This window comes from Homo sapiens, chromosome 19 (genome assembly GCF_000001405.40).
Source record: "Homo sapiens chromosome 19, GRCh38.p14 Primary Assembly".
In the NCBI taxonomy this organism is placed as follows: Eukaryota; Metazoa; Chordata; class Mammalia; order Primates; family Hominidae; genus Homo; species Homo sapiens.
In genome coordinates this window covers 48,766,296-48,778,681 of record NC_000019.10, presented here as the reverse complement: position 1 = coordinate 48,778,681, position 12,386 = coordinate 48,766,296, and positions in this window count along the sequence as shown.

Here is a 12,386-nt window from a genome sequence, read left to right as displayed (position 1 = left end):
CTTGGCCACTAGCTTCTCCCAGAGCAAGTGATGAAAGAGAGAGTGAGAGAGAGACCACGATGGAAGCCGCAGTCTTTGTAGCCTAGTCTCAGATGTCATATCCCACCATTCCTTTTTTTTTTTTTTCTTGAGACAGGGTCCCCCTCTGTCATCAAGGCTGGAGTGCAGTGGTGCGGTCATGGCTCACTGGAGCCTCAACTTCCTAGGCTCAAGTGATACTCCTGCCTCAGCCTGCCAAGTAGCTGGGACCATGGGCACACGCCACCACACCCAGCCAATTAAAATTTTTTTTTAATTTTTTGAGACGGAGTTTTGCTCTTATTGCCCAGGCTGGAGTGCAATGGTGCGATCTCAACTCACCACAACCTCCACCTCCCGGGTTTAAGCGATTCTCCTGCCTCAGCCTCCCAAGTAGCTGGGATTACATCCCACTACGCCCGGCTAATTTTGTATTTTTTTAGTAGAGACAGAGTTTCTCCATGTTGGTCAGGCTGGTCTCGAACTCCCGACCTCAGGTGATCCGCCCACCTCTGCCTCCCAGAGTGCTGGGATTACAGGCATGAGCCACTGCGCCCGGCCTAATTTTTAAATTTTTTGTAGAGATGGGGGCCTCAGGCTGGTCTTGACCTCTTGGGCTCAAGTGATCCTCCTGCCTCAGCCTCCTAAAGTGCTGGGATTACAGGTGTGAGCGACTGCCTGGCCCATCCCACCACTTCTGCCCTGTGATATCCATCACAAAGGCCAACCCTAGTGTAATGTGGGAAAGGAATGCACATGGCATAGATACCAAGAGGTGGGGATCATTGCGGTTCACCTGGGAGCCTGCGTCCCACATCCAGAGAGACCTTGGAGGCCACGTGTGAAAATGGCAAAGCTGGCCGGGCGCAGTGGCTCACGCCTGTAATCCCAGCACTTTGGGAAGCCGAGGCGGGAGGATTACCTGAGGTCAGGAGTTCGAGATCAGCCTGGGCAACACGGTGAAACCCCGTCTCTACTAAAAATACAAAATTAGCCGGGCGTGGTGACACATGCCTGTAATCCCAGCTACTTGGGAGGCTGAGGCAGGAGAATCGCTTGAACCCGGGAGGCGGAGGATGCGGTGAGCCGAGATCGCGCCATTGCACTCCAGCCTGGGCAACAAGAGTAAATCTCCATCTCACCAAAAAAAATAGAAGAAGAAGAAGAAAAAAAAAAGAAAATGACAGAGCTGCTATCAGCCTGAGTCCTTGACCCTCTGTCTTTCTACTAGTTAGACTTTACATGAATAGAAACAAAAATCAACTGTAGGGCCAGGTGCAGTGGCTCACACCTGTAATCCCAGTGCTTTGGGAGGCCAAGGCAAGAGGGTTGCTTGAACCCAGGAGTTTGAGACTACTGGGCAACATAGTGAGACCCCATCTCTCTGTAAAAAAAAAAAAAAAAAAAATCAATTAGGCCAGGCACGGTGGCTCACGGCCACTCAGCACTTTGGGAGGCCGAGGCCGGCAAATCACGAGATCAGGAGTTCCAGACCAGCCTGGCCAACATGGTGAAACCCTGTGTCTACTAAAAATACAAAAAATTAGCTGGGCATAGTGGCAGGTGCCTGTAATCCCACCTACCCCGGAGACTGAGGCAGGAGAATCGCTTGAACCCGGGAGGCAGAGGTTGTAGTGATCGCACCACTGCATTCCAGCCCGGATGAAAGAGTGAGACTCCGTCTCAAAAAAAAAAAAAAAAAAACAATTGTTCAAACCACTGATATTTTAGTGTGGGTCCGTCCCAGTGTTTCACATTGCTATAACTAATTCAGAGATCAGTTACCAATGGGACAGCATGGGGAAGGTTAAACTGAACACGTAGCACTGTGTGACTTTACTGTGTACATATATAACTTTGATTAAAAAAGTAAATATGAAAAAGCGGGAATACAGAAAACCCATTCAATCCAAGTGAAGGAAGGAATAAAAAAATAAAAATAACCCACTGAATAAACTCCAGATGGATCAAAGTCTTCAGTATCAGATAGGAAACCATAACGAGTGAGAAGTAAGCATTGGAAAATTATTTTATAACATGGGCATGACCGTGACTCAAACTTCAGAGGCCAGAAAAGAAAACATTGATATGGTCAAATACATTAAATAGAAATCGGCATTCTTCCCCTTCCCTAAATTTGTCTTCCTGAACGATAAAGTTCTAAGGTTTGAGGTGGGGCAGGCAAGGCCAGCTTGGGGTGTTGGGGGCACAGTGGCCCAGAAGTGGGGTGTCAGGGCCTTAGTGGGGTGAAGGAGGCATTTACTGATGTGAGCAGCTCAGCACAGTGGGGGGCACCCAAGTAGGAAACGTAAGTCCCCTAGGCTAATAGGATGGGGGGCTGTAGCTCGGGAAGTCAGCCCAAGCTGGGTGCAGAGGGCACAGGGGAGGTGGAAGGAGGGGACAGCTGTGGAGATGAGAGATGGCTAACATAGAGGAGAATTGACCGATAAGGAAATTAAGAAAATGAAGTCATATTTCTCACTGTCAGAAAAGGCAGATATAAATATGGAAAGGGAGAGAACTAGAGGTATTGAATTTGTCTTTATTTATTTATTTTTTTGAGACAGAGTCTCACTCTGTTGTCCAGGCTGGAGTGAAGTGGCATAATCTTGGCTCACTGCAACCTCCACCTCCTGGATTCAAGCGATTCTCCTGCCTCAGCCACCCGAGTAGCTAGGATTAGAGGCCTCCAGCACCACACCCAGCTAATTTTTGTATTTTTAGTGGAGACAGCGTTTCACCATATCGGCCAGGTTGGTCTCAAACTCCTGACCTCTAGTGATCTGCCCGCCTTGGCCTCCCAAAGTGCTGGGATTATAGGCATGAGCCACGGCACCCAGTCTAGGTGTTGGATTTCTTTTTTTTTTTTTTTTTGAGATGGAGTCTCACTCTGTCTCCCAGGCTGAAGTACAGTGGCACCATCTTGGCTCACTGCAGCCTCTGCCTCCCAGGTTCAAGTGATTCTTCCACCTCAGCCTCCTGAGTAGCTGGGATTGTGGGCGCCTGCCATCACACTCAGCTAATTTTTGTATTTTTGGTAGAGATGGGGTTTTGCTATGTTGGCCAGGCTGGTCTCAAACTCCTGACCTCAAGTGATCCACCCACCTCGGCCTTCCAAAGTGTTGGTATTACAGGCATCAGCCACCATGCCTGGCCAGATATTGGATTTGAATTGGATGTGTCGTTCTCAATATGCAGAAATAGATATGGAAATATACAAATGTATACATACCTAATATATGTGTGTCTATGTATACATACCTCCTATGTAGATATATATACACATATATACATAACATGCACAAAATAGATATAATAGACATATTACATGGTGGATATATAATATACAATGTGATATCTGTAGTATATAATGTAATATATGAGGTACAATGTGATATATACAATATACTACACACATACATGTATATATTTGTTCGTTGAGATGGAGTGTCTCTCTGTTGCTCAGGCTGGAATGCAGTGGCACGATCATGCGTCACTGCAGACTCTGCCTCATGGGCTCAAGCGATCCTCCATCCTCAGCCTTCTGAGTAGCTGGGACCACAGGTGTGCACCACCACGCCTGGCTAATTTTTAAATTATTAGTAGAGACTGGGCCTCACTATGTTGCGTAGGCTGGTCTCAAACTCTTGGGCTCAAGCAGTCCTCCTGCCTCAGCCTCCCAAAGTGCTGAGATTACAGGTGTGAGCCACTGTGCCTGGCCCCACATATGTGCGTGGTGTGTGTGTGTGTGTGTGTGTGTGTGTGTGTGTGTGTGTGTGTATATGTAATCCGTCCCCTGAGAGGATCCATTAGCAGACAAAATTCAAAAACAAAAGCAACGAGCCCTGTTAGTGTTTGGATCTTGGCTTCCCATTCTAAAAGGAACCAGGGCTCCTTGGAGAAACAGCTGATTCTAGAGCTGGTTTAGAGAAAGAAAAAAAATGAGCCTAGAACATTTTGCTGTACCAGAAATCAGGAACGACTCAAGTGTGACTAATGGAGGCCTGTCAAAAACGCATGGTTTCCAAGCCCTTGAGAGCTGATTAAAACAAACAAACAGGCTGGGCGCGGTGGCTCACATCTGCAATCCCAGCACTTTGCGAGGCTGAGGCAGGCAGATCACTTGAGGCCAGGAGTTCAAGACCAGCCTGGGGAACATGGTGAAACCCCGTCTCTACTAAAAATACAAAAATTAGCCAGGCGTGGTGGCGCATGCCTGGTAATCCCAGCTACTTGGGGGGCTGAAGTGGGAGGAAGGCTTGAGCCTGGGAGGCGGAGGTAGCAGTGAGCCGAATCACATCACTGCACTCCAGCCTGGGTGACAGAGCAAGACCCTGTCTCAAAAACAAACAAACAAACAAAGCACATAGCCACCAGCTTGAGGGGGCTCCCATTGGGAAAATAGAGGACTAAATACAGAGTACCCCAAAAAGTAAATAAAGAGCCGGGTACGGTGGCTCACGCCTATAATCCCAGCACTTTGGGAGGCTGAGGCAGGCAGATCACGAGGTCAGGGATTTGAGACCAGCCTGACCAACATGGTGAAACCTCGTCTCTACTAAAAATACAAAAAAATTAGCCGAGTGTGGTGGTGCACGCCTGTAGTCCCAGCTACTCAGGAGGCTGAGGCAGGAGAATCACTTGAACCCAGGAGGTGGAGGTTGCAGTGAGCCGAGATCGCGCCACTGCACTCTAGGCTGGGTGACAGATGGAGACTCTGTCTTGAAAGAAAAAAAAGTAAATAAAAAGAGCATCAAAATAAATGAGTTTGAACACCAAAAATAGAGAATGATATAACTGATTATAACTCATGGAATAAAATAGGAAACCATGAGTCCACACAGACATAAATAAATCCATTAATAACTGGAAGGGCCAGGCATGGCATCCTGCAGTGATGGCATTCTGTTCCCAGCTACTCAGGAGGCTGAGGTGGGAGGATCACTGAGTCCAGTGAGGTCAAGGCTGCAGTGAGCTGTGATTGCATCACTGCATTCCAGCCTGGGCAATAGAGCAAGACCCTGTCTCTAAAAAATATAATTAAAAAAATAATAACTTGAGCCAGGCACGGTGGTTCACACCTGTAATCCCAGCACTTTGGGAGGCCGAGGTGGTGGATCACTTGAGGTCAGGAGTTCGAGACCAGCCTGGGCAACATGATGAAACCCCGTCTCTACCAAAAAGACAAACAATTAGCTGGGTGTCATAGCGTGTGCCTGTGGTCCTAGCTACTTGGGAGGCTGAGGTGGGAGTCGCTTGAGGCTGGGAGACTGAAGTAGTGAGCCAAATTGTAGCACTGCACTCCAGCCCGGGCGACACAGCAAGACTCCATCTCAAAAAAAACAAAAAAAATGGCCCAGGCGCAGTGGGTCACGCCTGTAATCTCAGCACTTTGAGAGGCCAAGGCGGGTGGATCATGAGGTCAGGAGTTCGAGACCAGCCTGACCAACATGGTGAAACCCCATCTTTACTAAAAATACAAAAATTAGCTGGCTGTGGTGGCATGTACCTGTAATCCCAGCTACTCAGAAGGCTGAGGCAGGAGAATTGCTTGAACCCGGGAGGCAGAGGTTGCAGTGAGCCAAGATCGCGCCATTGCACTCAAGCCTGGGCGACAGAGTGAGACTCTGTCTGAAAAAAAAAAAAAAAAAAAAAAAGAAAACAAAAAATCCTGAAGATTTCCTGAGGAATGTGATATTAGTATAGTTTCAAAGCTCTCATTGCTTGGCAAGGACAAGTCCGGCTGATGCCACTTGCATCATGTGACTGAAGCAAATGTCATCAGAAACTGGAGAGGTGGACGCCGCGAGTGACCTGACTTCCAGTGAGAAACACACAACATGATCTCAGTCGTTGTGCTGCCAAAGAATCCGATCACGAGGAAACATCAAATAAATCCACATGGAGGGAGAGACGACTCGATAACCGGCCTGTAATGTTCCAAATGCCAAGGTCATGAACACCAGGGAAGACTGAGGAACTGTCCTTCCTGACTTTCAAAGAGACCTGCCCTCAGAAGCAGTGCATGACCCTGAACTGCATTCTTTTTTTGGCAGTGGGGAGAGCAGAGTCTCGCTTTGTTGCCCAGGCTGGAGTGCGGTGGTGCAATCATGGCTCACTACAACCTCCACCTCCCGGGTTCAAGAGATTCTCCTGCCTCAGCCTCCTGAGTAGCTGGGATTACAGATGCCCGCCACCACGCCCGGCTATTTTATTATTATTATTATTATTATTATTTTTGAGACAGAGTTTCACTCTTGTCATCTGGGCTGGAGTGCAGTGGCACGATCTCGGCTCACTGCAACCTCCTCCTCCAGGGTTCAAGTGATTCTCCTGCCTCAGCCTTCCGAGTAGCTGGGGTTACAGGCATCCATTTTTGGTAATTTTTGCATTTTTAGTAGAGACGGGGTTTTGCCATGTTGGCCAGAGTGGTCTCGAACTCCTGACTTCAGGTGATCCGCCCGCCTTGGCCTCCCAAAGTGTTGGGATTACAGGCGTGAGCCACCGCTCCCGGCTCTGAACTGCATTCTTTTGCCATAAAAAGCATCACTGGGACATGTGGCAAACATGAAGGAGGTCTGATGATTCCAGAGTAGTCGTGGGTCAAGGCTACTTTCCTGATTTTGGCGGCCCTGCTGTGGTTGTGTAGGAGAATGTCCTTGTTTGCAGAAAGTACACACTGGAGTATGTGTTAATGTAGTGATGGGGTTTCAAGGGCACATGTGACTTTCAAATGGTTCTGGAAAATAAGAATTGCTTGTACTGTACTTCCAAATTTTTAAATGTTTGTGACTGTTTCCAAGTTAAGAAAATTTATTTATTTATTTTTAGAGACAGGGTCTTGCTCTGTCACCTAGGCTGGAGTGCAATGGTGCAATCATAGCTCACTGCAGCCTCAAACTCCTGAATTCAGGCGACCCACCCACTTCAGCCTCCCAAGTAGCTGGGACTGTAGGTGTGTGCCACCATGCCCGGCACATTTTTGTATGTTTTTTTAGAGACGGTGTTTCACCATGTTACCCAGGCTGGTCTCGAACTCCTGGGCTCAAGGAATCGATCCTCCTGCCTCGGTCTCCCAAAGTGCTCGGATCACAAGGGTGTGCCACAGCGCCTGGCCCACTCTTGAAATTTTAACATGCATCCTTAAAGTGACCAAATCTAAATATAATCATTCTGTCATATTCCAGAATAACAAAAGATTTCAAAGCATTCTAATCCTGATCACCTGCCACCTGTTTTACAGGTTTTAATTGGTCTTTTTTTTTTTTTTAAGTTTTATTATGAAAAAACGGCGACTATGCAAACCAAATAGACCTCTAGGGAGTGGGCTGCAGGCAGCGGGTCTCTCACCTCCAAGAGGGTGTGGCCTAATGGAGTCTGGGACCTCTCTCTGAGGGGCCTGGAAATCTACTTCCGGAAGAGCAGAAAGTAACAGGAAGCTGGAGCCATTGCTGTCCCTGGCTCCTGGCAAGACGCAGTGTGGAACTAGGGTCTTGTGAGAAATCCCTACACCCCTCCTCCTGCCAGCCAGCGCCCTGCCAGGGCCCCGTGCTGCTGGTGCCAGCTGCCAAGGGGGTCACAGAGCTGGAGGGTCAGCTTTGTGGCAGAGACAGCGGCGAAGCTTCACCCAAACAAGTAGAGGAAAAATGGGCTCACCCTGAGTGTGTAACAAAGAGGAAATGCCCCACACGTTTCCCGGAGAAGGTCCTGGAACAAACAGCCGTGAAATCATCTCATGTCCCAACCTATTACAATACTATGACTTAGAACAAGTTTTTCAGGCTGTATTATAAAAATAAGACACTCTGAGTCGACTGGGCGCGGTGGCTCACGCCTGAAATCCCAACACTTTGGGACGCCGAGGCGGACAGATCACCTGAGGTCAGGAGTTTGAGACCAGCCAGGCCAACATAGTGAAACCCCGTCTCTACTAAAAATACAAAAAAATTAGCTGGGCGTGGTGGCGGGTGCCTGTAATCCCAGCTACTCGGGAGCCTGAGGCGGGAGAATCATTTGAATCTAGGAGGAGGAGGTTGCAGTGAACCGAGATCTTGCCATTGCACTCCAGCCTGGGTGACGAGCAAAACTGCGTCTCATAAATAAATAAATAAATAAATAACCCAATTCATGTGGTTACGACAAACTCTAAGATAACACGGGCTTTGCCCTGGAATGTCGGCTTGGTGAGAATTGACTTGGAAGAGGGCATTCAGGCTGTTGTAACAAAAATACCACAGACTGTGTAGCTTAAGGAACAAATATGTATCTCTCATAGTTCTGGAGGGTGTGGAGTCCAACATCAAGGCAGCAGCATATTCTGTGTCTGGTGTGGGCCAGTTTCCTTGTTCATTGCTGGCACCTTCTTGCTGTGTTTCCACTTGGTGAAAGGGTAAGGGAGCTCTCTGGGAGGGTATTTTTTGAGACGGAGTTTCGCTTTTGTCGCCCAGGCTGGAGTGCAATAGCGTGATCTCAGCTCACTGCAACCTCCGCCTCCCAGGTTCAAGTGATTCTCCTGCCTCAGCCACTTAATTAGCTGGGATTACAGGCATGCGCCACCATACTGGGCTACTTTCGGCTAATTTTTGTATTTTTAGTAGGGACGGGGTTTCACCATGACTTCAGGTGATCTGCCCACCTCGGCCTCCCAAAGTGCTGGGATTACAGGCGTGAACCACCACACCGGCCATATTTATTTATTTTTGAGACAAGGTCTCTCTCTATCACCCAGGTTGGAGTGCAGTGGTGTGATCACAGCTCACTGTAGCCTTGACCTCCCCAGCTCAAGTGATCCTCCCACCTCAGCCTCTTAACTAGCTGGGACTACAGGTGCGCTTCACCACACTTGGCTAATTTTTTTTTTTTTTTTTTTGGTAGAGATGGGCTTTTGCTATGTTGCCCAGTCTGGTTTAGAACTCCTGGGCTCAGGTGATCCTTCTACCTTGGCCTCTCAAAGTGCTGAGATTACAGGTGTAAGCCACCTTGCCCAGCCTTCTCGAAAATATTTAAAGCATTTGTAAGAATCTGGTATATCAGACTTGTGAAAAGTATGACAGAGTGTATTACTGTTTTTCTCCTATTCATGGCATTTAAGGGAAACCACAATATCAGATTTGTGAAAAGTTCACTGATTAAATGTGCAATCACTGTTCAAATATTTAGGCGAAATCTACAATTGTGAAATTTGTGGCTTGTTATTTTTAGCTGTAGAAGTAGTCTGTGAATGTTTAAAGGAAAGATAATTGTTTAAAAATTCATTGATCATTAACAAAAAAACAAATTGTTGTGAATTTTCCTGTCCATGTACAAAAGCTTCTCAGTCATTCAAGGAGCTCACCACCATGTTTTCAACAAATGGGGCTGGAAAAAGTGGCCAGGAGCTGAAGGGAGGAGAATTGGGGAAGTGGGATTTAATTGCGGCAGAGAGTTTCAATTTTATCAGATGAAAAAATTCTGAAGATTGGTTGTGCAACAATGTGAATATACTTAACGCGACTTAACTGTACACTTAGAAATGATTCAGGTGCCGTGGGGTTATGATACAGATTGGTTTTCGGCCAGGTGCAATGGCTTACGCTTGTAATCCAACACTTTGGGTGGCCGAGGCGGGCAGATCACTTGAGGTCAGGAGTTCTGAGAGCCGCCTGGCCAACATGGTGAAACCCTGTCTCTACTAAAAATACAAAAATTAGCCGGGCATGGTAGCGCAAACCTGAAGTCCCAGCTACTTGGGAGGCTGAAGCACGAGAATCTCTTGAACCCGGGAGGCGGAGGTTCCAGTGAGCCCACTGCACTCCAGCCCGGGCAACAGAGCGAGATTCTTTCTCTCAAAAAAAAACAAAAAAAAAAAACAAAAAAAACAAAAACAAAAACAAAAAACCTCCAAAAAATTAGCCAGGTGGAGGCACCTGTAATCTGAGCCACTTAGGAGGCTGAGGCAGGAGAATTGCTTGAACCTGGGAGGCAGAGGTTGCAGAGAGCTGAGATTGTGCCACTGCACTCCAGCCTGGGCGACAGTGACCCTGTCCCCCTCCACCCCTCCGAAAAAAAAAGAAAAGAAAACAAGAACAGTAGTCAAATCTCTAGGGGCTCCAGTGAGTAGGTGAGGATAGGGTGTGGTGGAGAAGCTGAAAGATGCTAAATAGCCTGGCTCCCCAGGGATCTGGGAAGTGCTCACTCAGTAGAACCTCCCTCTTGGAAGGACGAAGCTCCACACTGGTGAAAACTAATAGAGAAACAAAACCCAAACTGATCTTGGCAGGCGCTCAGAGAGTAAAGCAGAGGGAAGGTTCTGATAATGGTGGGGGCAAGAACCAAGGAGATAGAGTTTGCTCCTGAACGTTGGAGAGGTGGCTGTGCTGAGTGGTTATATATTGCATACAATACTGTGGGGAAACAGCAAAGAGTCAGCCTATTTATTTATTTGTTATTTATATATTTAATTTTTTGAGACAGGGGCTCGCTCTGTCACCCAGGCTGGAGTGCAGTGGTGTGATCTTGGCTCACTGCAACCTCCGCCTCCTGGGTTCAAGCGATTCTCCTGCCTCAGCCTCCCGAGTAGCTGGGATTACAGGTGCCCACCACCATGCCCAGATAGTTTTTTTGTTTTGTTTTGAGATGGAGTCTTGCTCTGTTGCCCAGGTTGGAGTGCAGTGGCGTGATCTCAGCTCACTGCAGCCTCTGCCTCCTGGGTTCAAGAGATTCCTGTGCCTCAGCACTTTGGGAGGCCGAGGCAGGCGGATCATGAAGTCAGGAGAACGAGACCATCCTGGCTAACATGATGAAACCCCGTCTCTACTAAAAATACAAAAACAAAATTAGCTGGGCGTGGTGGTGGGTGACTGTAGTCCCAGCTACCCGGGAGGCTGAGGCAGAAGAATGGCGTGAACGCGGGAAGTGGAGCTTGCAGTGAGCCGAGATCGCTCCACTGCACTCCAGCCTGGGCGACAGAGCGAGACTCCATCTCAAAAAAAATAAAAAATAAAAAATAAATAAGAGATTCCTGTGCCTCAACCTCCCAAGTAACTGGGACCGCAGGTGTGCACCACCACGCCCAGCTAATGTTTGTAATTTTAGTAGAGACAGGGTTTCACCTTGTTGGGCAGACTGGTCTGGAACTCCTGACCTCAGGGGATTCGCTCACCTTGGCCTCCCAAAGTGCTGGGATTACAGGCGTGAGCCACTGTGACCGGCAAAACTTTTAAGATTTTTAAGGCTCAGAAAGCTATCCTGGCCCACCCTAATGTCAACTGTGCAACTTCCTCCTAAGGGTACGGCTCACTTAAATGAGAGAAAAAGAAGAGGAGTGTGAGGCCAGGTGCGGTGGCTTACGCCTGTAATCCCAGCACTGTGGGAGGCCAAGGCAGGCGTATCACCTGAGGTCAGGAGTTCGAGACCAGCCTGACCAACATGGAGAAACCCTGTCTCTACTAAAAATACAAAATTAGCCAGATGTGGTGGCACATGCCTGTAATCCCAGCTACTTGGGAGGCTGAGGCAGGAGAATTGCTTGAACCCGAGAGGCAGAGGTTGCAGTGAGCCGAAATCATGCCATTGCACTCCAGCCTGGGCAACAAGAGAGAAACTGTCTTAAAAAAAAAAAAAAAAAGAAGAAGAAGAGGAGTGTGACTAACTCCGTGTAGAGGTGTGCATTGGGGAAATAGCGTCCTGGAAGCTTCATGTCTACCTGGTACCGCTGAATGTGTCCTTACTTGGAAATACGGCCTTTGTAGATGAAATCAAGTTCAGGTGAGGTTATACCGGGTTGGGGTGTGCGCTAAGTCCTATATGATTGGTGTCCTTATAGGAAGAGGGAAATTAAGACAAAGAGCCAAGCGTGGTAGCTCACACCTATAACCCCAGCACTTTGAGAGGCCGAGGTGGGAGGATTGCTTGAGCCCAGGAGTTCAAGACCAGCCTGGCCAACATGACCCTGTCTGTACCAAAGTAAAAGTTAAAAGAACTAGCCAGGGCCAGGTGCAGTGGCTCACGCTTGTAATCCCAGCACTTTGGGAGGCCAAGGCAGGCAGTTCACTTGAGGTCAGGAGTTGGAGAGCAGCCTGGCCAACATGGCGAAACCCTGTCTCTACTAAAAATGCAAAAATTAGCTGGGCATGGTGGCGCAAACCTGAAGTCCCAGCTACTTGGGAGGCTGAAGCATGAGAATCTCTTGAACCCGGGAGGCAGAGGTTCCAGTGAGCCCACTGCACTCCAGCCCGGGCAACAGAGCGAGATTCTCTCTCAAAAAAAAGCAAAACAAAAACCCCCCAAAATTAACGAGGTGGGGGCACCTGTAATCCCAGCTACTTAGGAGGCTGAGGCAGGAGAATTGCTTGAACCTGGGAGGCAGAGGTTGCAGTGAGCCAAAATCA